Source organism: Homo sapiens, chromosome 6 (assembly GCF_000001405.40).
Source record: "Homo sapiens chromosome 6, GRCh38.p14 Primary Assembly".
In the NCBI taxonomy this organism is placed as follows: Eukaryota; Metazoa; Chordata; class Mammalia; order Primates; family Hominidae; genus Homo; species Homo sapiens.
The window spans coordinates 98,868,233-98,893,330 of NC_000006.12; the positions used below are offsets into that span (position 1 = coordinate 98,868,233).

General features: G+C 35.5%; 1 protein-coding gene across 9 annotated transcripts in view; it reads right to left on the reverse strand.

The window, feature by feature from the left end:
* The window catches only part of FBXL4 (F-box and leucine rich repeat protein 4), a 79,412-nt gene continuing 54,616 nt past the window's right edge, over positions 303 to 25,098 (reverse strand). For 6 of the 9 annotated variants that reach the window (NR_103836.2, NM_012160.5, XM_017010726.2 and 3 more), the window contains 3 exons: positions 12,321 to 12,392; positions 7,183 to 7,495; positions 303 to 6,209 (listed from right to left, as the gene is read on the reverse strand). Coding sequence is in view for 8 of the 9 variants with exons in the window: in NM_012160.5 (NP_036292.2) it covers positions 6,046 to 6,209; positions 7,183 to 7,495; positions 12,321 to 12,392 (549 nt within the window). In the remaining variant the exon portion in view is untranslated. The remainder of the gene's footprint in view (positions 6,210 to 7,182; positions 7,496 to 12,320; positions 12,393 to 25,098) is intronic. The other 3 variants (XM_017010727.3, XM_047418626.1, XM_005266930.4) reach the window with 1 other exon arrangement.

Here is a 25,098-nt window from a genome sequence, read left to right on the forward strand (position 1 = left end):
CATTAGGAGATATACCTAATGCTAGATGACGAGTTAGCGGGTGCAGCGCACCAGCATGGCACATGTATACATATGTAACTAACCTGCACATTGTGCACATGTACCCTAAAACTTAAAAGTATAATAATAATAAAAAATATATAGAGAGAGAAATGAAAAAAAAAAAAAAAAGAGTTCTGTACACAGGCGGATGGCTCCTCATCTAGGCTGGTAATTTCACAGGGGCTGTGACGCAAACCTATTTACCCAAACCTTCCATTATATTCAGCAGTGCCCTGAAATGATCAATTTTGAAAGTGAACTAATGAGATACTCAAACTTATTTTATTACTCTAAAGTACAGAATACAAACAACAGAAATCATTAGATATTGAACAGCATTTTTATGTAAATAAAATTAAAATATCTCAGTCGTCTGTACAGACAACTTCATTTGTAACAGAGACTTGTTTTATCTTTAGTGTATTCTACTCTATTTATCTGATACGACTATTTTGCTTTTAAATGTTTTCCTTAAAATTTTTATAACTAATACTTCACTAATTACTTTACCAAATACATAGATTAAAATATCCCTAAATGTCAATTTTAGCAGGACTACCTTTTTCCTTTCAAAATGTAGTCAAATATACCTTTAACAGTATTCATATGCACAAAATTTAAGCCAAATATTCAAGCTTACAGGCAAAGATCTTGAGCACACTTACTGCTGTGCCAAAGGAATAATCTTGGCCCCATCCCTACTTATAAAAAATATATAATAAATCATGATCTTTGATTAAAGCAAATGACTCTTAACAGAATGTGAGCTATTGCCAAAAAAATGATTCTAACAGTTATGGTTTTACACTCACAGCCTAGGTTTCTAGTAGTATGTTGTCAAAAAAAGCAAATGAGGTGATGATTGGCAGTTAATGGTCATTGACAAGATTTTAAGGGTAGTTAAAAAAGTTTCTCTGAAGTATCAATATCAAATGTGCTAAAAGGAGAAAAGTAGATGCAGCACTGATGTGTCAAAAATGACTTTGAAAATGTAAATTCCTGTGTCTGTAATAGGTATCCTTTAATAGCTGAAAGTAACAAATGAAAAGCCAAACATTCACTATTAACATACATGGGGCCTGACACAGTGGCTTATGCCCGTAATCCCAGCACTACAGGAGGCCAAGGTGGGAAAATTATTTGAGCCCAGGAGTTCAAGACCAACATAGGCAACATGGAAAGACTGTGTCTCTATAAAAAATAAAAAAATTAGCCAGGTGTGGTGGTGTCTGTAGTCCCAGGTACTCGGGAGGCCGAGGTGGGAGGATCGCTTGAGCCTGGGAGACTGAGGCTGCAGTAAGCTGAGATCATGCCACTGCACTCCAGCCTGGGGCAATAGAGTGAGACCCTGTCTCAAATATGTAACACACACATACATACATAAATATATACACACATACATGGTAGCCAAATGGAAATTTTACTGACTCTTTGATTAGTATCATTACACTTCACATATGAGTTTTAGTCTTCAGTTAATTCCTGGGAAATGCCAAAAATAAAAATACTGCCACAGAGAAATTAGTTTTTCTCTGCTACATATTGGCTCAAAAGTAAGCACCTGAATATTAATTGTCTACATTTTGTATTTTTAAGATCTTATTTCAAAACAATTTACATTGAGAGTATTATTTATGCTCTTAAACAGGATCAGGGATATCTTTATTTCTAGACTCTGGGAAGATAATTTACCTGAGCAAAATGCAAAGATAAATAATTATACAAAAATTTAAGTCAGTTGTCAAAGCTAACAATGCATCACCTGGCTTCAAAATTTAACAAACAAAGAGTCTACATAAATATCTTTCTTGTCTACACATCTTTCTTGTTATGGTAAACATTTTGTTTTTTCTAACAAAACACTGCTCTTCATTTTAAAATCTAAATGGCAAAATGAGAATGATAACAGCGAATTAACAGGTTTGAATGTGGTTTATAAAATTAGGAATGGGCAAACATGGATTAACTGACTCGAAAATACTCTGGAATAGGGGTCACAAATTTGGTCCACAAGCCAAATCCAGCCAGCTCATAAGAACAGTTTCACATTTTCTAATGGCTGAAAAAATCTAATGGCTAACACAGTAGTATTTTGTAACACATCAAAATTATGTAAAATTCAACTTTCAGTGCTCATGAAATTTTATTGGAACATGGCCACACTCATTCGTTTAGGTACTGTCTATGATTGCTTTCACATTAGAATGGCAGAGTTGAACAAATGCAAAGGAGACTTATGTGGTGCTGTCATCATTTTGCACTGCTACTTGGCACACTAAAAACTGCAGTAATGCAGTTACCAGCATTTTGAGTGCCACATATGTTGTCATACCACAATATTTTTAAATTTTTTATTACTAGTGCTTACCCATAACATCAAAACAAGAGAAAAAAAGAAAAGTAGACTTGAAGTGACATTTTTAAGGCACATTAGTATATGAATTTTTAAAAATCAGATTAGATGTCAGAGTATGATGTTTAATATGCAATGTCATTATAGCTGTTCTTAAAGAATACTATAGGGAGGTCAGATGCAGTGGTTCATGCCTGTAATCCAAGCATTTTGGGAGGCTGAAGTGGGTGGATCACTTGAGGTCAGGAGTTCAAGACCAGCCTGGACAACATGGTAAAACCCCATTTCTACTAAAAACATAAAAATTAGTTAGGTGTGGTGGCATGTGCCTGTAATCTCAGCTACTTGGGAGGCTGAGGCAGGAGACTCGCTTGAACCTGCAGGGTGGAGGTTGCAGTGAACTGAGATTGTGCCACTGCACTCCAGCCTGGGCAAAAGAATGAGACTCAGTCTCAAAAAAAAAAAAAAACAAACTCAAAAATGAAAATAAAGTTGCAGCCAAAGTGACTCAGATGTTAACCAAGCAAGGAAAACATTTTACTAACGATAACTAAATTGTGTTTGATTCTATCGGCTGAAGGACTGTGTCCAAAGTAAACTTAAGACTATTAAATTAGCCTTTTGGCAAGAATGGTTGCTTAAAGAATTGAGAACACTGGGAACAACATCAACAGTCAATAAAAAACAAGGCAAATGACCCTGAGTGGTTTTCCTTGGCTCTTGATGAGTCAACAGATGTTACTGACACTGCCTAGTTATTGCTTATTTGATAAGTCAATGCCAACGTTGAAGTGACTGAAATTAGTCTCTATGAATTATCTGTGTGGCACAATTACAAGCATGAATATTTTATAAGAAGAAAACACAAATTTCATGCAACCTGAAGTAGAATCTGCTAAGATGTGTTACAACTGGTGGTGTTAAAAATGTGTGAAGCAAAATGATTACGTTTGTCAAATTTATAAAGCCTGTGAAAAGGTAAGAAGGTATTTAAAATCTATGGTTATTTACTGTATTATTCATCAGCAGGTACTTTGTGGGATATATTTGATTCAATTTTGTATTACTGAACTACTGGTAGCAATGGTGAACTTCATTTGCTCTCATAGTTTCTGATAGATTAAACATCAATGGTTCAGTTATCTTTTGTCAGATACAGAAGATGAATATGCTGATTTGCCCAACCACATTGGCATAATAGTGTTAGTTCTATTGTGAGCTTTTGCGTTCAGGGCTGATATTGACATTTTTCTGAAAAAGAAGACATGTCCTCAATCACTATTATGGAACACTGAATGGCTTTGGAATTTAGCTTTTGCTCAAGACTTAATAAAATTTTGAAATGAATTCAAGCCAAAATTACAAGGCAAAACGTGTTTACAAGCAAAACATAAGTCATTTTGATGACAACATTGTTTGAATTACAAGTAACAACAAGCTGCTTTACACATTTCCTGTGCTATCAAAAGGTAAGACAAAGAAGCGAGATCTCCACTCTCACACAAATTTGTAGCTCACACCATAGTGCCTGCAGTATTTTTTGGAGTTTGCAAATGTAAAGGAAATTTCCATTTTTCAAAATCAATTTAACAGTGCAATTGAGGAGCTTCTGCCTAGTCTTCAATTGGAAGTGATTAAGCTGCAATGTAATAACATGCTAAAAGGAAAATATCCAGAGAAGAAGTAACCTTTCAAGTGATGAATATGCTCAACAAAAATCATATTCTCATGGATTAATGTAAGTATTTGACAATACCTATCTGCAAGGAATTTTCAGAAGTAAAATACATAAAATCTTATTACAGATCAGCATTAACAAATGAGTACTTACAATCAACTTTAATGACACGAAACATTAACTTTGATCCTCCCTGTAAATATTTAATTCTTTTCATTAGTAAACCCGTATTACAAAAAAAATTGTTCTAAATTATTGTTTTGAATTTTGTCAATAAAATTTTCGTGCAAATTTTATTTCTCTCTAGTTATTTAAGTATCTACATAACAATCTCAGTTTTACCTCTTAGCCCACAAAGCCTAAAATATTTACTATCTGGCCCTTTATAGAAAAAGTTTCCTGACCTCTGCCCTAGAGCCAGAAGCTACCCTGAACACCTAAAAGCACAGGTTTAATGCAATGCTTCAGAAGCCAGATGGCCTGGGTTTATATGTTGGCTCTGCCACTAGCAGCTGTATGATCATAAATAAATTCTTCAATCTTTCTTTGCCTCAGTTTCCTCATCTGTAAATGGGGGTAAGTAATGGCATTTATCTTACAGGGTTGTTGTGAGAATTGAATTAGTCAATGCAAAGCACAAGAAACAGTGCCAGGCACAAAGGAAGCATTCTCCTCATGTGACTACTGAACACTTGACATACATCGTTTTGTTAAAAAAATGAATTAATTCTGCTACTCAGAAAGTAGACAGAAAATATTTTGTGGCATGAAAAGGCACAGCTGTTTTGAACACAAAACTAATATTAACTGTAGTATAACAAAATTCATTGTCCTGTTAAGTGCAAAATCGTTATATTCCAGCATCCACACACCCTAGCAAGATATATATCTCTCTCTATATAATATATATAATTATATATATGTATATAATATATACATGTACATTACATATAATATAAATGTAATATATAATTATATAATATATAATATATACATGTATATATTAAAAATCATAAATGTGGATATATATTATCTATAATATGTATATATAATGTGTATATATAATATATATCTCCACATTTATGTTTTTTTATATAATTCAGAAACCTCAAAACTTTACCTTTCACAAAATGTTAAGGCATCTGCTTCTAACAGTTGGAAAGCTTTTTTTATTTAGTAGTTTACCTCTTATTCTTGATTATACCCAAATTTTTATATTGGCATTATCCAGTAGTGAAATAGACAAAAATATCAGAAGAAAAGTGGAAACACTACAATTTTTTTTAAGAGAAAGGGACTTGCTATATTGCCCAGGTTGGAGTGCAGTGGCTGCTCACAGGTGCAATCATAAGTACACTAGAGTCTCAAAATCCCATCTCAAGTAATCCTCCTGCCTCCACCTCCTGTGTCGCTAGGACTACAAGTGTGTGCCACCACACCTGGCTAGAAAAACTAAAAATTTTCCAGTTGAACAGTTAATCCAGAGAAATAACCAAACAGCTGGAAAAGCATGTCTCATTCTCCAACTAGCTCTGACCATTTTGTACATACCAAACAAAACACTTGCCAGGTCACAGGCTTAATAAGACATCCTTACATGAAGGTGTAAAAAATTAACTTTTTTTTTTGCATAAATGCCACGATACTTTATTGCTCAGTGTTCCTTTGAAAATAAGTTAGCATGATTCCATGTTATTCTTTTATCAATCATATTATTGACTAAAGCATATCACTGATTAACATAAGGTAAAAATAATATCCACTCATATTCTTGAAGAGAAGTGCTTGCAGTATTTTATGAAAACATTTGTGCACATTTTTACTTGATTTAATGGACAATTTCATATTTTTCTTTAAAATCTACAAATGTCTTAATTCTTACCATTAAAACAACTAAAAACAAAACCCAAAACCAATCCCAAAATTAAACCCCAACAAAGCACATTAATTTTAATACAGAACATATATTAAGTCACTGAGTAAAGCTCTTTTTTATGAACACTTTTGGAAAGCTTGCATTCAGTTCTAGCACAGCTCTGTTATCAATCTGCGAACAGAAGGACACATCAAGTAAAGAAAGATCTTTACAAGATTCCAGGAGTTTTCTTAAGGATGCCGGACTTACCATTCTTGTTCCTATTTAAGGGAAACAAAACAAAACAAAACAAAACACCTTAAGTATAACATTTATATAATGTGCTAACAATGAATCCATCCATGATTTATTGTTTGTAATGAACTTAAAATAACCCTTTACAAATTAAAATCATTTTTTCAAACATGACTTCATATTGAAATGGTTCTGTTAAAAAAGTAAAAGTTGAATTTTCCAGCCAATTTAGCATCTAGGACCTGAATCTTGCCAATATCCTACCCACTATCTTCATTCCTACCTCCTACCCCTTCAAATCAGCTCCTCCAGACTTTCCTATTTCTGTCACCCCAGTTCAAAATGGTTTTCACCATGCATTTGATGTAAAATGTGCAAGTGCGATATGACTTCACAAAGTATCAATTGTGTGGACAATGATAACTACTGTGACACTGCTAGCACCCCTGGCTAAAAGTAAGAAGCAACAAAATTACACAGGGTTCCTTTCTGATGAATGCAGCAAGGATTCAAGAAATCCCAGAGCTGGAAAAGATTTTCAATAGATCTGCCTGGGGTAGAACTATTCCTAAACGCTAGAATTATCAGGGATAAAGATTTCACGATATTCCTTAATCAAGAATTTTAATTAAGAAACTTAAAAAAAACTAGCTTGAATTCATTATACAAATGAATTAATTTCTTCTCTCCTTAATAAAAATAGAGAGCGCAGCTCATGTAAATTCTCACTCTTACAAGTAGACCAAGAATTAATGGTTATAGTTTTTTACAGTTTCAACTATAAAATTGTTATTGTCCTCACTATTTTATTAAAGTACATATATAATTATTCCCTATATTAACTGATCTATCTTGCATTTCCTATCAAACCAAGCCATCTTATCAGGATAAAATTTTTATTGTATCCAAAAATTTTCTTTTTCCTAACAAAAAGTCTGAGATTGGCTTTTCTGTCAAGGAAACAGACATTTAAAACAAATTTATATATTGTAACCTTACCTAATATGTCCAGCTGCTGTAACCTGGTACAATTACATGCCAATTCATCAATGTCTGTGTCACACACAGATCTATTAGCTGTAAGAAAGAGTTTTTGCAAGTTTGGGAGCTGGTGTGCCAGTCTGGTGAAGCACCCGGTGCTGCTCTGCAGAGTTGGGCACCAGCCAAGGTCAAGCTCCTCCAGTAGTGGACACCCAGAAGCCAGTTCTGCTATTCCATTCTCAGTAATATTCTTACATCTCCACAGATCCAGGGTCCGGAGTTTTTTACACTTGGCTCCTATCATGCTAGCTATCACATCATAGTCTTCAATCTGGAAATCAAATAATTCCAATCTTTTACATGTTATGCTCAGACATGCAAACTGTTTAGAGTAAGTCAGATTCTTAATTATAACCTATTGCTTTGCTTCCATGTAAACAAATCCACATCCTTGTTAATACAGATCTGCCCACTGACCTCACGGATCTGCCACTGTTTCATAAAACAGCCAGGAGTACTCATTTATTTAAAAATCCATTTAAGAGCACTCCAGACAGAAGATGTTAATGAATTAAATCCCAAAGCAGTCTATGTCTTCAGTCTCTCATGAAGAATTAAAGGATTATATGTTCTTCTTTTATGCCCACCATTTCAACCTTGCTGCTGCTACTCATTGACAGCACCTACTTTCCTCCGTTTTATATATGGCTAATATACTTTGGCAAGTATATATGATCTCCCTGATGTGTATCTGGTAGGCTCTAAAACACTATGTGGAAATGCTGATAATACTAATAAGGATACTAGTTTTGGCTTAAATGAGGCATTTGGGGACTGCATATACAACATGAAAATAATTTAGATTACAATATGTTAATCAACTGTCAGTTATTGGAGGTGTCCAGTGCTTACCTCATGATTACAGGACAAGACTCTACTAATCAAGGATTAAACATTTCAGTTATTGGGCTTTACATGCTTTAATAATGTTTCTTTAAATAGGTTATTTTAAGAGGTTCATTTGATTTTGCTAAAATCAGATATTAAAATTATCACAAGGAAAATTATCAAAAGGAAACAAAATAGTAAACAATTACAATGATTATTTCTTTTTGTTCTTTTGTTTAATTGTATTTTCAACAAACATCTACGCACCACTCCAGATGCTAGGACCAGCAGTAAACTGAAAAAAGGAGACACTGTCCATATTTTTAGGAAAGACACACAGACTAATTAAGGAAAAAATACATTCAAAGAGTGACATATAGTGGGAAAATAATAAAACAGAGTGATGTGAGAGTGATCAGAGTGTCACGGGTTGAGGGAAGAGGTGGTAATTGCTGAAATCTCCAGGAATGAGGTTGATGCATTCGAGGAACAAAAATGAGATCCATACAGTCCAAGGGTGGTGAGGGAGAGGACGGGCTATGGAGGGCAGAGTCACGCAGTGGCCAGGACATTTAGACCATGAAGGAGTTAGATTTTTCTTTCAAGTACTAAGGAAGTCAATGGAGGGTTCTAAGCAAAGGAGTGACATATTATTATTTACATAAAAACTGACACAAAACCACCTCTGGCTTCTGTCTGGAGGATGGGCCTATAGTGGGGAGGAACGGAGAAGGAAGCTCATTGAAGAGGTCTGCAACAGTGTAAAGGACAGATGACAGGGACTTGGATTAAGGTGGCAATGATGGAATGAAGAAATCCGACAGATTTGGGGCTGCATTTTTGAGTTAGAACCAAAGGCTGACAGATTAGATATAGAGGTAATGATTTCTAAGGTTCTGGATGTCAGTGTATGTATGGTGGAATCATGCGGAAGTCTATGAGAAACAGGTTTGGGGGAACATATCTCCTTACGTGAGTATACCTGAACAATACAAAACTGTGGGTTTGATAATTAGGGCAGCCAATTAGCTTACTTAGAAAAAAAAAATTTAAAAACTTTATGAAACCTATGATTCTGACTGTGCCCAATTTGTGCCTGGGCAATCTCAGCAGCATTTGAACAAATTCTCTACTAGCATAGAACACAGTGAGAAATTCCTTCAAGAGTTTTTTGTTGTTGTTGTGAAATTATCACAGCACTACTCATGCCAAATTCAGGGCTGGGAAAATAAAAATGAAACTAAATACTTTTTACTGGAACAAAGTCAACCTATCCCTCCTTTATTAACTATAATTCCTTCTAAATTTTAGATATTATGCAGGACTCTTTTTTCCCCAAAAATATTAGACATATTTATTTTCTTATTCATTATCTAATTTTAAAAATAGGGCAAATGTCACAGAGGAACTATCAGCAAGAATTTAAGTGACCTAACCAGGATCACATAATTAGTAGGAAACTTAAGAAAATAGCAGGTAGGTCTTAGGATTCTTTAATTTAGGCAACTTTAAATTACTTCAATCAGCATTATATAATAGTGGAATTTAAACTTTTTAAAGTCATTTTTAGAAGTAAAAAGAAATAGATAAAATTTGTCTCTTTCCCAATCAAGAGGAAAAATAAATATTTCTAAGTAGTCCTAAAAACATGTTTACGGCATTGACTAGAATATTCAGGTTTATTACAGGTGAGACACTGCTCCTCAGAAGTTCTTGTCACTGCAAATCTGTCTAACTGGCACTTGTGGCACAAAGATTAGTTTCAGAAAAAAAGTGACACAACTAATTTAGTATCTACATTAAACTCACTACAGAGAAAGTATGCCATGAGGTGAATACTCAGCGAAGGTATATAATAGATCACAATCACCATGGGAAAGTCAGCACAGTGCTCTATGTATGTATACTGTGAACAGTTGCTTCATAAATATCACAAATCTAAACATTGCTATTATATTGACAGTCAACAATAAAATGTAATATGGAAAATGTAATATAGAAAAATGAGTTCAGTAGTCAGGCAAGGTTTGAAAACACTGGTTTTAGCAAAGGTAAACAGTTTCTTTGTTGTAGCACACACCATTGTAAAACTCTAAGACCAGGCTGGAGTGCGGTGGTATAACCATAGCTCACTGCAGCCTCAAACTCCTGGGCTCAAGCAATCCTCCTACATCAGCCTCCAGAGTAGTTGGGACTATAGGTTTGAGCAACCATACCTGGCTTCCTAATTTCATTAGGAATCTCCACTCCACCCCCAAATACACAGCCTTTAAAATTGATTATCCTTTAGAGGTAATTTTCCATGGGTCAACTCTGGAAAATGCTAACTTAAAATAATACAATTTCAATTATAAGCATATATATAATTCCAACAGTAAAGAGTCTATGGCCAGAGGCTTGATTTTCTAAGGAATGTTGCTCCAGTTTAAGGGGAGGTAAATAACAAGCAGAATAAGGTACATCTAAGCAAAGTTAAATGGTCCTTACCAATCTAAAGAGAGCAGGCTAGCAATAAGGAAGATCCAAGTGGCAGTAACTGGCTGGTTTGTTGTGACAGAAACTGCCATCAAATGTCATCGGGTCCATCAAGAAGAGTCACTGAAGAGACCCACAGAAGCCTATCAAATGGCTTACTATGGAAAGAATTTGACCAGAAGTGAGGAAAATCTAGTGGGCTCCCAAGACTGTTTCTAGAGACTGAGATGGCCTGAGCCCATACTTAGGGTTTAATAAGACCTAACCACAAGATTTTAAAGACCATGGGGACACAGAGATAAATATGTCATCAAAAGAGGCCTACTTAGTCTACACTGCCAAATCTTGAGGCATTTCTGAAGCCACACTGAGCTCTAAGAGGTGTTCAAATGGTACTCATTTTAGGTCAGGGACCCTGTCTATTGACTCTAATAAAATATTTCTCAAAATGTAAGGTTACTTAAAGCAAATACTCCCTAGCATACCAGAAGTTTTCTAGAATCTTGCAATCATTTTGCTAATTCAAGTCTTCCTACTAAGTGAATGCAAGGCAGAAATGGAATGGTCTGGGGATCTCCTAAACCTACATTGTTTTAGGGAACAGGGGATGAAGTGAGGAGGAATGAATTCTTCCAGTCAGTTACACTGGAAGATTCACTTACGGTATGTGTGCACACAAACACACACATGCACACCTTCTCCACACAAGATTTCTATTGTCCTTTATATCTCAGTATTATTTAAAAGCTATATAATTATGTGGTTTAGATTAAAACATTTAACTCTTTCCATGAGCTCTTTCAAGGGCACATAAAATCGTATTTTAAATCTGGAAGGACTAGGCTGGGCGCAGTGGCTCACACCTGTAATCCCGGCAATTTGGGAGGCCGAGGCGGGCGGATCACAAGGTCAGGAGTTCAAGACCAGCCTACCCAATATGGTGAAACCCAAGACCAGCCTGCCCAATATGGTGAAACCCAAGACCAGCCTGACCAATAGGGTGAAACCCCATCTCTACTAAAAATACAAAAAAATTAGCCGGGCATAGTGGTACATCCCTGTAATCCCAGCTACTTGGGAGGTTGAGGCAGGAGAATTGCTTGAATCCGGGAGACGGAGATTGCAGTGAGTCAAGATCGCGCCGCTGCACTCCAGCCCGGGCAACAGAGCAAGACTCCATCTCAAAAAAAAAAAAAAAAAAAAAAAAATCTGGAAGGACTTTGAAGCTTATCTAGTCCAACAGTCCCTAGGCTTTTATATTTCACAGACCAGTAAAATTTCCACACACAAAAAAGAGTTCCAACATAGGGTGTTAATCTTTCTGTTTTGACCAGTAAGGACAGTAAAACAAACACAAAAACAAACAGATAAAATAAACCTATCTATTATCATTAAAATTTCAAGAAAAGTATCTCAGGATTTAAAAGCTAAAATGAGCTTAGTGAAAAACTTACTGAACTATCGGCATTTAGGTATGACTAACACCTTAGTTTGTGAAGAAACCTAGAGAGGTGATTAGCTTGTCGGAGACAACATCTGGCTTGAGGCAGAACTATACTCTATTCCACCACACTATACTTCTTTCCTTGCTCTCATGGATAAATAATGTCAGTGTTTCAAAGACATACTTTCCAATTTAAGAAAAATGTTTGAAAGCAAGGGACAAAGAAGAGAACCATAAATCTGAAAAACTGTGGGTGTGTGTGGGGTAGGGTGAGTCAGGATACATTTCACCCATAGGAAGAAAAAGAGAACAAGTAATTGAGTAGTATAAAGAATTCTCAAACACTTACCATGACACAACTGCCTAAACTGAGGTGCTGAAGCTCTGAACAGAAGTTCAAAATGCTGAGCAGTGCTGTTTGCTGCCATTAGGGACCACATCAGAGGCAAATATGGAAAGTGAATGAAAGTGAAACAAAGAGAAGAGGTCAATTAGACATTAAAGGCTGTCACTGCTTTTCCTGAAATGCAGCTCAAAAGCTAGGTTACAGAGTCCACAAATGCCATTTAATGAGTCCCCAGAGGCTCCACCATTGATTGGCTTGGAGTCAAGGTAATCATTACTAGTCTCCATGTAAGTAATCACTTTGTGTATGGTTTTGGATGCCCTAAAGATACCTATATTCCCTATGACCTCTCGGTTCATTTCCCAAAGGTAAGCAATTTGAAAGTCTGGCTACAATTGAACAACAAGACAAGCTAAACCACTCCTCCCTCCAAAAACAAAAACAAAAAGACAAAAAACCCGCAGCAGGCTGGTGACACTCCTGAAGAATGGCTGCAGCTCTGACATTCACTGATCAGCTGCAGCTTGATGGAACTGCCAATAGAGTCACCCCAAATCAGGATTGAGCTGGTGACTTTAATGTCAAAGGATTCTCTTTGCTGACAAGGATACCAACAACCATTGAGCACCTGTCAGTAGCAACATGCTGACTGAAATATATATAATATGTACTTTCTAGTCATGTTCCTGCCATTTAAGCCCATCTATCCTGTGCAATGAAAATGGTCTCACCACTAAAGAAACCCAAAGACTGCTACATAATCATGGCACCCTAAAATATTTTTTTAAAAAAGTCTGCTATGAAAAATTGTGAAAAACAAAATAATGCAAAATATTCAAATTTCTAATTTTTCTTTTATCAATTAAGGAGAAAACTATTCAAACTTACATGGCAAAATATCTTATACATTTTTAAATATATTTAAAAATTAAGATATTATACAACTTCTGTAAAAATCTGTTCCAAGTGATCAGAAACTAAAAACTATCAGTTGAGGGAAAGGTGAAGAATGTGTCAATGAAAATGTAAAACATTTGGTCAAATCCCAGATAAAGATTCTCATTGAGAAAATAAAGTAATAAAATATTTCTCAAATGTAAGGTTACTTAAAGCAAAAATAATAATAGTTACAATAGGCCACAGAGGACTATTATACTTAAGTCTAATTATTTCATTATTGAGCATTTCTTTGAATTTAAACAAAAAAAGTTTATATTGATTTTATACTTAAGTTTCAACATAACAACATTTATAAAACAATCCCATGTAGCTCTCAGAATGTTAACATTAGAAAGGGTATATTAAGATAATTTAATTTTCAGGTTCTTCACAATACTTAGCCATGTTAACTAATTAACAGACAGGAACATAACATTAGGTTTGTTTTTTTTTTAATTACAGGACCATATCCATATTAAAAGGTTGTTTTATAAGATTTTCCCTTAAGTAAGATCCAGAGAATATTAGAATTTTTAGAAAGAATCTCATAAATTCTTGTTGGTAAGAAATTTTAAATTAAAAAATACACATACATAGAGATAAATACACACATACATATAATTCACACAACTTGTTTGGTAATTTATTTTTAAATTACTTACTATGAAGAATCTCAAATACACAAACAAGTATAGGTTCCAATATAACACCCATGTAGCCACCACTCAGTTTTGTCAACTCTTAACATTTTGACATTCTTTGCTTATCTGGCTACATTGTTGTATGGCTCCATCCATTCACATACTTCCTCAGAGGTAAACTTTATCATGACTCGGTGTTTAAAACATGCTTGAAAATATATAATTTTCCAATACATTATGTATCCATAAGTAGCACATAATATTGTTCTACATGGTTTCTATATAAATGGTATTACGATGTGAATATACTTCTGCATCTTCTTCATCAGTGTGAGGGATCTGTCCATGTTGATACATATAGCTCTAGTCCACTAATCTTTAATGAAACTTGTTTGGTAATTTATTTTTAAATTACTTACTATGAAGAATCTCAAATATACAAACAAGTGTAGGGTCCAAAAGAATGCCCATAATAACCATGTAGCCACCACTCAATTTATCAACTCAATATTTTGTTTACCTCACTACATTTTTGTATCCCTCCATCCATTCACGTACTTCCTCAGAGGTAACCTTTATTATGACTTGGTGTTTAAAACATGCTTGAAAATATACAATTTTACTATACGTTATGTATCCATAAGTAGCATATAATATTAACATTAGAAATTGTATAATATTCCATTATGCAAATATATAATAGCATACAATCTCATTTGATTGATATTTAGTTGCTTACAATTTTCACCATTACAAACAGTGTTAGAATAAACATTCCTTTATGTGCTTCCTTGTGCATTTATAGAAGAGTATTTCTCTAGAGAACACACCAGAAGGAGAATTTCCAGGTGTTTATGTATTCTTTGACTTTATTTGGCTTTGCAAAATAGCTCTTCTGAGTGCTTAAATTAACCTATTCTCCCATCAGTACTGTAAGACTGTTAGGTCCCCACATCTTTACCAACATACGTAGACTTTTCATCCTTTTTAATATCTGCCTGTCTCATGAGTACAGAATGGTATAATTTGCATTAGTATGATTACTAGTGAGACTGAAGATCTTTTCATATGTTCATTGGCCATTCATATTTCCTGCTCTGTAAATTGCTTAATCACATCCTTTGCTGATTTTTCTTTCCATTGGGTTGTTTCTTCCTTCTTGACTTCTGGAATTCTTTATTCATGCTGGATACCAATCTTTGTCAGTTATATCAGCTATAAATACCTTCTCTGAGGCATGTCTTTTCACTGTTTACTGGATTTTCTGAGATGTGAACATTTTAAATTTTAATATGACTATATTAAATGTGCCATTAATCCTTTTCCCCCTTATGTTTGTATCCTGTTGTTTTTTCCAAAAAGTTCTTCTTTAGCTAAGGAAGAATCTAAGATTCTTTTTTTTTAAAATCAGAGTTTTAGAGTCTTTCTTTTTTGCACTTAGGTTTTTAACCCAACTACAATTGATTCTTATATGGTAGGATATCAAATTTCATTTTCCCCACATTGTTCCAGTTTGATTTATTGAAGACTTCATTGTATCCACTGATTTGTAATGCTTTCTGTCATATATAAGGTTTCCATATACGCATGAGTCTACTTCTGGGTCATTTTGTTTCACTGGTCTATTTTCCATTCCCTGCACCAACATTTCTGTCTTAATTATTATACTTCATAAGTCTTTAAATCTAGTATGGCAAATAGCTTTTCCTCATTCTTCAAACATCTCTTAGCTGCTGTTGGCCCTTTGCTCTTTCATGTGAACTTTAGAATCACCTTAAAGGTTTTAGTTTTTACCTTTTAGAAATAATACAAAAAGATTAATTTTTCTTAAATTAATCTCCCCTCCATGGTCATTAGTTAATTTACTAGCATTTTATCAATTTCTGTGTCATAATTTTTTTTTATATCTGATACTTCCTTACAGAATTTGTCTTTTTGTTGAGAAATATTTTTAATTGTTCTTTTACTGAGTGTCTACAGGTGATAAAATCTTAACAACAAACATTTATTGAGTACTTATTAACATGTCAGGTAGCATTGCTGTAAATTCTTTATATATATAAATCCTCACAACAATCCTATTCACTCATTCATTCATTTAATAAACAGTTATTGCATGCCTACTATGTGTTAGGCACCGTTTAGGCACTTGGGATATAACAGTGAACAGAACAGTTAACCTATAAGGTAAATACCGTTATTTACCTATCCTATCATTATAAATGGGGAATCAGAAAGACAGAAACTTAAATAACTTAATGTTTACCCTCAATCTTTTTTTAAAATAAATTTTATTGTGCATATTTGAGATTTTTCCTCAATCTAGAACGAAAGTTTAGCTAGACTTCGAATTTTCAGATGACAGTTACCTTCTTTCAACACTCTGAAAACATTACTCCATTGCTTATGAGTCTCTTACTTGATAAGAAGTCTACTGTCAATCTAATTGTTTTCCTCTGCAGGTAATATATCTTTTGTCTCTGATAGCTCTTGTCCCTTTATTTTTGATCTCCTGCAATTACATCACAATCTGTCTAAAAATGTATTTTCATTTATTTTGTTTAAAACCCCAAGTGCCCATTTTGATCTGAAGACTCATATCTCTCTTCATGAAAGATAATGATTCTTAACAATTCTCTCTTCAAATATTACTTTTCTACCATTCCTTCCATTTTTTTCTTCAGTAACTTCTATTCAATGAACACTGGAGTATAACACTGGAGTCTCCTAGTACCAGCGGTTAGAGTGGTTTGAAAAATATGTCCACGTGTTATTCTATATGCTTTCCTTCCAGAGGTAGAGCTTAATTCCTCTCCCTTTGAGAGAGTGGGCTTAACTTAGCGACTCACTTTTAACAAACAGTATATTGTAGAGGTGATATAGGTCACTTTCAATATTACATTTATGATGGTTAATTTTATGTATCAGCCTTACTAGGCCATGGGGTACCCAGATATTTAGTTAAACATAATTCTGGGTGTTTGTTTGTTTTTGAGATGGAGTCTCACTCTGTCCCCATGCTTGAGTGTAGTGGCACAATCTCAGCTCACTGCAACCTCTGACTCCCTGGTTTAAGCGATTCTCCTGCCTCAGCCTCCCAAGTGGCTGGGATTACAGGCATGTGCCACCACACCCAGCTAATTTTTATATTATGCAGAGGTGGGGTTTCACCATGTTGGCCAGGATGGTCTCGACCTCCTGACCTCATAATCCACCCACCTCGGCCTCCTAAAGTGCTGAAATTACAGGTGTGAGTCACTACGCCCTGCCAATTCTGGGTGTTTCTGTGAGGTTGTTTTTGGATGAGATTAACATTTAAATCAGTAGACTGAATAAAGCACATTGCCCTACCTAATGTGGGTGGGCCTCATCTGATCAGCTGAAGGCCTGAATAGAAAAAACAGGCTGACCCTCCCTCAAATAAGAGAGAATTCTTCCAAATTCAGGAAAAAAAACAATGTCTGATGGCCTTCAAACTGGGACGCTGGTTTCTTCCTGAATTTGGTTATAAACTGAAACATCAGCTCTTCCTGGGTCTTAAACCTGCTACCTGTCAGACTACAACTACACTATCAGCTCTCCTGGGTTTCCAGCTTGCCAATTCGTCCTGCAGATTTTGAGACTTGCCAGCCTCATATCATGTCAGCCAATTCCTTATAATAAATATCTTTATCTCCTATTGGTTCTGATTTGGAACCCTCCTAATACAGTTATAAAAAGGCTGTGGCTCCTGTCTTGGCTTCCTCCCTCCCAACTTGATCCCTTGTGGGGAAGCCAGCTGCCATGTCATGAGGACACTCAGGCAGCCTATGGAGAGGCCTGTGTGGAGGGAACAGGGGCCTCTGGTCACAAGCTGAAGGGGAACTGTAGCAACATCCCCCTGAGTTTGGAGGCTGAGCCACCAGCCATAGTCAAGCACCAGATAACAACCTGGCTGCAACCTCCTTAGAGACCCTGAGCCAAAACTACCCAGCTAAACCACTCCCAGGTTCCTGACCCACAGAAAACGTGTGAGATAATACATGTAGGTTGTTTTAAGCCACTAATTTTGAAGCAATTGATATATAGCAATAGATAAATAACAGAGTCACTAGTATATAGTAGGCACAATATATATTTATTAAATGAGTAGGACTGCCTTGCCTTAGGAGTAAATGAGAGAGAGAGAGAGAGAGATTTATTGATTGAGATTGTGTGGGTGTGTATAAAACTTACAGCAGTGTCTGACATACCTTTTAGAAATCTGAGTACATTCCTCAGACTTCTCTTCTAATTTAGTAATCCTGTGTCCAATTTAGAATTTATCACATCTATTCATTATTTCCTAATGACTATACTTTATTTGCTAGATTTCCAATCAGTTTTTTTCACAACTATGTGTTCTTGTTTTAGTCTATTTATGTTTCAAAATTTCTAGTTCTTTTTCACAAGGTACTTTCACTATTTCTTTGAACTGCCATCTCCTGACCCCATCTTTTTTTATTCCTCCTTGTCTAAGGGTCTTGCACATTGCTCCCTTCTAGAACCAGGACTTCTGCTGAAGGTATAGAGGTCCTGCTCTGCAGTGGCACTGCGGATACTGCAGGACCAGTAGAAGGCTTAGCTCAGTTCTGACCAGGAGGCATGGCCAATACCAGGTCACTATATACTTTTTGGTATATCTGCCCAAAACAAAATCTCTTCTTTCTCTAAGACTTCCATCCAAACTCCTGGGTGGGGTGGCTTGGAACACTGTCACCTAGCTGATTATCCCCAGACTGGGACAATAAGATTCTCATGATACAGTTTGAGATAAATTCCCTATACAATCAGTTCTTTGAATTAAAAGTAAGAGTAAGGCCAGGTGTGGTGGCTCACGCCTATAATTCTAACACTCTGGGAGGCCAAGGAGGGAGGACAGCTTGAGCCCAGGATTTCAAAACCAGCCTGGGCAACATGGTGTGAACTCATCTCTACAAAAAATGTAAATAAATAAAAATAAAAAAAATTAGCCAGGAATAGTGGCACATGCCTGTGGTCCCAGCTACTTGGGAGGCTGAGGTGGGAAGACTGCTTGAGACCAGGAGGTCAAGGCTGCAATAAGCTGTGACCATGCCACTGTACTCCAGCCTAAGCGAATGAGCAAGAACCTGTCTGCAAAAGAAACAAACAAAAAAAGTAAGATAATGGTAAGAAAAAATATTTATTGTCAAGAATACTATATTAACCTGTCTGGACTGTTCTTCAGAGAAATCACAACTTCTGCTTATTGTGTATCTTAAAGATTGTAACTTTAAGGCACAGACCTAACAGCATATCCTCCTAACTCACTTTTGAACTGAAGTCTAATTATATATGTCTAGAAAACATTTGTGAAATGGTAGATGCATTATTTTCTCTGGGAGAATTTCAAGTCATAGAAGAGGAATTCACAGCAAATATTTTACAGTAACTTAGTCTGTACATTAAACTGGGAATTAAAAAATCATTTAATATTAGAACTATCATTTTTAAAATCCTCAGCTTGAAAAGGAATTAACATAGAATAAAAGAGATTTATGTTGAATGATATAACTGATCTTTGCTGAATAAGAGACGTGAGATCAAATGCTGAGACCAAGATATTGCGAGATGGAAGTGATGGTAATGGAAAGAACAATGATGACCTTGGAAGAGATACTGTGAGGAATTAACAAGAGGTCAAATAGAAATAAATCAAAGGGCTGACAGGTAGCACTGAGGTGAGTAAGCACAAATTAACACAGTTTCATGGCTTTCTCCAGCAAAGCTCATCAGCAAAAGCCAGAGACTCTGGGAGTACCCAGGTTTAGAGAACATGCCTATGGAATCAGTTTACAATGTCTTTAAATCCAGTTAACCCGTTTCCTCCTAAAATATCTTTAAAATATTCTTTCTCCATGCTATTAGTATTCAGAATTAAAATGTTGTTACTGATGTCAAAGCAAAGAGAATAAACTACGGAGAAATTAACTCTTCATTTCCAGATACAGAAGGACCTGATTTTGTAGAGACCACCAACTCAATAGTTTGGAGCAGGAGTTGGCAAACTACTGTCCACAGGCCAAATCCAGCCTACTGCCTGTTTTTGTAAATAAAGTTTTACTGGAACACAGACATTCCCACTCATTAATGTATTGTCTGTGACTGTTTTCACACTACAACAGCAGGATTGAGTAGCTGTGATAGAGCCCATAGGGCCTGCAAGGCCTAAAGTATTTACTACCTAGCCCTTCACAGAAAAAGTTTGCCAATCTCTACTTAGGAGAACAAAACAATTCTACTATAATGAGTATATGCAGCACTGCTACATATCTAGAACACACAAATGGATGGATCAAAGCTATATTATTAGGTGTACTGTGAAAATGGCACAGTATTTATTCAGAAATGAAAAGTGAAAAATTCTATGAACCTCTTATTTAAGACATAAAGTATCTTTCAGGTCCCCAAGTCTACACATTCTGCTGGTTAGGTCTCAAAACTCATTCAATAGAAGTACAAGAGTAGTTCTATAAAACTAAAATATAATTAAAATAGCAGCTTTAATAGTGCAAGGCAGCAGATTCATTTTCAAATGAGTTTGTAATTTTCAAACAAAGGGCAACCTTACTTAAACAACTATGGCAAGGCATTCACTAAGGAGTGACTGGGTCCATGATAATTTCTTCTACAGAATTACCAAAACATACTCTAGGTGCATGCTGTCATCTAGCAGTAGAATACATGTTCATAAACAATGATTTATTTTACATTCCACCTAAAATCTACCTATTAACCCTGTTCAGCAGCTTCAAAACCCAATGAATAACTTCAAGTAATAAATTCAACAATTCGCCACACATAAGAAGCATACGCTTCTTAACCTGGGATCAAACTGGAAGAGTAAACACATAATTAAATATTCAAGTTGGTCACATGACACTCAGCCATTGTGAAATGCCAAAGGTAAAGAAGTAAACAGCAAAATATTATAACAAGTTATAACTGGAGAGAAAGGCAAGAGACAAGTTCAACGTGAACAGTTTTTATTAATGCAATTAGGCAAAAACAACTGTAAAGCATGCTTATAGCATCAGGGTTCCGGACCTTCCTATACAACTCAGGAAAGGACTGCAAAGGAATTAGTCCATAAACACCATACTCCAATGATTATAACAGGAGGAAGACTGTTTCCCCCTACTTTCACAACTGCCTTCTTGTTTGTTTAGCAAGTTTATTCCCCCTAGTGTCCTTTAGTGAAGCTTCCAAATACTCAGACTACTACAATGACTACAATGACTACTGCTAAGAAAATGATTTCACTGCACTTTGGGAGGCTGAGGTGGGCAGATCACTTGAGCTCAGGAGTTTGAGACCAGCCTGGGAACATGGCAAAACCCCATCTCTACAAAAAATACAAAAATTAGCTTGGCACGGTGGTGCATGCCTATAGTCCCAGATACTTTGGAGGCTGAGCTAGAAGGATCACTTGAACCTGGCAGGCAGAGGTTGCAGTGAGCTGAGATCACACCACTGCTCTAGCCTGGGTGACAGAGTGACACCCTGTCTCAAAAAAAAAAAAAAAAAAACAATGGTTTCAATTTCAAAAACAGTTTTAGTTAGTGAAATGATGGATAACAGATGTGGAAGTTTGGTGTATGCAGATATGAAGTGCCATTCAGTTATAAAGAATTATTATTAATGCCTTTACTTGTTAAGAAGAAATTTATTAATAGATAAAAGGCATTAATTCAAATTTTCATTGACAGCTTTTTAAGAAACGTTACCCATAAACTTTATAACTTCCCACCCTCCAGGCTTCTAAAGTGCTAAGCAAAACTACTTAATAAAAATAACCAATATTTATTATACTCAAATATAACTTTTAGATAGTCCAGATTTATAGCTTAGAATTATATTTATGCATACCTGTACATTTTATAATATACTGAGACCTTGTATAATCAATGTATGCAGTAATATGTTTGCTATTTTACATTAATGTAAGTTTTTAGCTGTTACAACTAGTTTATGACTTTTTTTGCTCAGTGTTAAGAATTGTTGGTTATCTTTAATAAAGAATGTAACCCTTAATTATAACACTCAATATAGGACAGTAGGATTCCAAATTAGTATTCTCCATTCTAAAACATGATTCCTAGAAAGCATATTAATAAGGGATAGGTAACAAGTGTACATATTACAGACAAAGACTAGCTAAAATATAGACTAGTTATATAACGTGATCAGAAACAAATGTACTTTCATTGATTATACTACATTTCAAACACATCAGAGCACTATCTCAGAGTAAGGTGGTGAAATTTTATAAAAGTATATTCACTAAATGAAAATTCATAAATTTGCATAACAAATGTCTCCAAAGAAATCCTAAGAACACAACCACTCAATTACTGGAGTGTAAAATACATGTATAAGTGTAAATCTTTCTCTAATTAAATTTTTTTTGGCTCCACTCTTCCAATTTCAATAAACTTGGTGAAGAAGAATATAGAATAAAAGTTGAAAGCCAGGTGCAGTAACTCATGCCTGTAATCCCAGCACTTTGGGAGGCTGAGGCCGGCAGATCACTTGAGGTCAGGAGTTCAAGACCAGCCTGGCAAATATGGTGAAACCCTATCCCTACTAAAAGTATAAAAATCAGCCGGGCATGGTGGCACACGCCTGTAGTCCCAGCTACTCGGGAGGCTGCAGCAGGAGAATTGCTTGGACTAGGGAGGCGGAGGTTGCAGGGAGCCAAGATCGCTCCACTGCACTACAGCCTGGGCATCACAGCGAGACTCCATTTCAAAAACAAAAAAAAACAACAAAAAAAAAGTTGAAGTATTTTAAGAACTATTTAAAGTACTTGAAACTAAACATATGTAGAAATAATCACCATTTTAGAATATTTAAATCCAATTACTTTGTCCAGATTTGCTATGAACCATCTATTAGAAGTTATTCTTTTATACAGTTCAAATACACAATATGGTATAGATTATATACTGATACATAATCACCTTGAAAATAATATTGTCTTTCACAACTTTAAGATCAACATTGTGGTGGAGAGTTAGAATTCTGACAGATCTCTAAAAAGAAAAGGCTAAATATCATAAATTGCAAAAATTAATAAAGTTCCTTACACTGCCTTTGAGGAAAAAGAAGTTCTCTAAACCTAACTGTAGATGTTTAATAGCTACCCTAGACCACAGACTCAGAATTTTAGCTCTAACATACAAGTTTCAGTTTAAGGTTCAGATAATTTGTCAAATTCTTAAAATCCTTGTGTGTGATGAAACAAAATCTAAGACTAAATGTTCACACACCTTTGCCTTGCCCTGCAGTCTCATTTTGAAGCCTATTTTTATCACTGTATTGGATCTTTCCTACAATAATATAGTCGAATACATCTTTCCTCACAGATACTCGACTGATCAATTTGCATAACAACCTACAATGGATGCAGAGATTTGCAGTCAAAAAGACATGGGGCTGGATGTGGTGGCTCATGCATATAATCCAAGCACTTGAAGGCTGAGGCAGGAGGATCACTTGAGCCCAGGAGGTTGAGACCAGCCTGAGAAACACAGTGAGACCCTATCTCTACCAAAAAAAAAAAAAAAAAAAATTTAAAGACATGGCAGTTTACATATTAACAGTCCTATAACTTTAATTTGGCTTTCCTCAGGACATGCCAACTGTGAGAGGATGGGTTAATCAGCCATCTCTAATGAATGGTGTCCTTTCCAGGTAGATTTCTTACACCTGGCTTATTGGTCACTGTCATGGTTGTGTTTGATAAGGAGTCTGCCCCCATTAAAAGATTATCTTCCCCACCTCTGCACTCACAAGTTAGGCTTCTTGACTGTAACTGGACTACAGTCCATTCATTCAGGGCACACATACTCACCCCACCAAGTCACCTATTCCCATTGAAAGTTCTACAAGGCCAATCAGGATACAGAAATATAGCCTAGAGACACATACCAAGGACTCTAAGAAAGTTTGTTAGTTTTATCTGTGATAATTAAACTTATTATCAGCTATTAAAACTATTGATTCTTGATTGTGTTTAAGAACAAAGTAATTACTAATATCTTTCTGTTTTACATATTATCTAGCTATATTAACATTTCTATTTTAAATAGACTGCATTTTAGATGACAACTAACAACATCCTGCATTAGTTAATTTAGGTGACCAAAGCCGGTTCTTTCTATTTTAATTTCTCACCCTCGTCTTAGTTACCAGCACTGGCTCTGTAAGTGAGAAGCCACCCTCTTCATTTGCCAATCAGTTTGGTCTTATAGTCTGACTTTGTTAGCTGCAATGGCTCTTTTAAAAGAAAGCTCATCCCTGCTCTACTTACCAAAATACAATAATGTATTGTTTAAATCAAATAAGAATGCAGTAAGGAGACCACCATATACGCATGTCAGAAAACAAATTCGTAGCACTAAATTAAATCACACTCTTTCAAAAGACAGTTAATACACCTTTTGTAGAAAGCCCAGCTGCTTTCATTAACAGTCAGGCTGGTGTGCAATTTTACTTATATATATGCTCTGCCAAATAAACTGGCACAGAAAGAAAAAAATAGGAGAGTGTTAATATCCTACAGAAGTAAAGATCAACTTCTTTTGTTGTCTTCTAGTTCATGAAGATAAAAGCAGAGGGGTCCTTGAAACTGTCGACACAGCTGAGTAGGCCAAGTAAACAGATGCTGAACCATACTTATGGATTACTGTCATATACTAGTCCCCCACAATACCTATAATCAGTTTTTTCACTTCTTCAGATTCTTTCAATTTATGCTCTATCATTCTTGAAGTGAGGCAATCAAAACTGGATGCAGGTGTTCCATTTATAACTCCAACTTTTAAAAAACACTCCTGGTTTTCCAGTCTGCTGCTAAGCAACAGAATAACATTCTTACTGAGCTACCTATCATGCCCCACTTTCACCCCTGACTCCAGATTTTTTTTTTCCCCAAACAGAGAAAAGGTAAACAGGTTCAAACTTCTAAAACTAGTCCAGATTGTTTTAGTACGTGTGGGACTTATCTTAAAGACACTCTCATGCACTATGTTAAAAAACTTTTCTTATGCTATCCTATACAAGGTGTATTAGTTTTCTAGGGCTGCTATAACAAAGTATCATAGACTAGGTAGTTTAACCATCAGAAATTTACTTGCTTACAATTCTGGAGGCTAGAA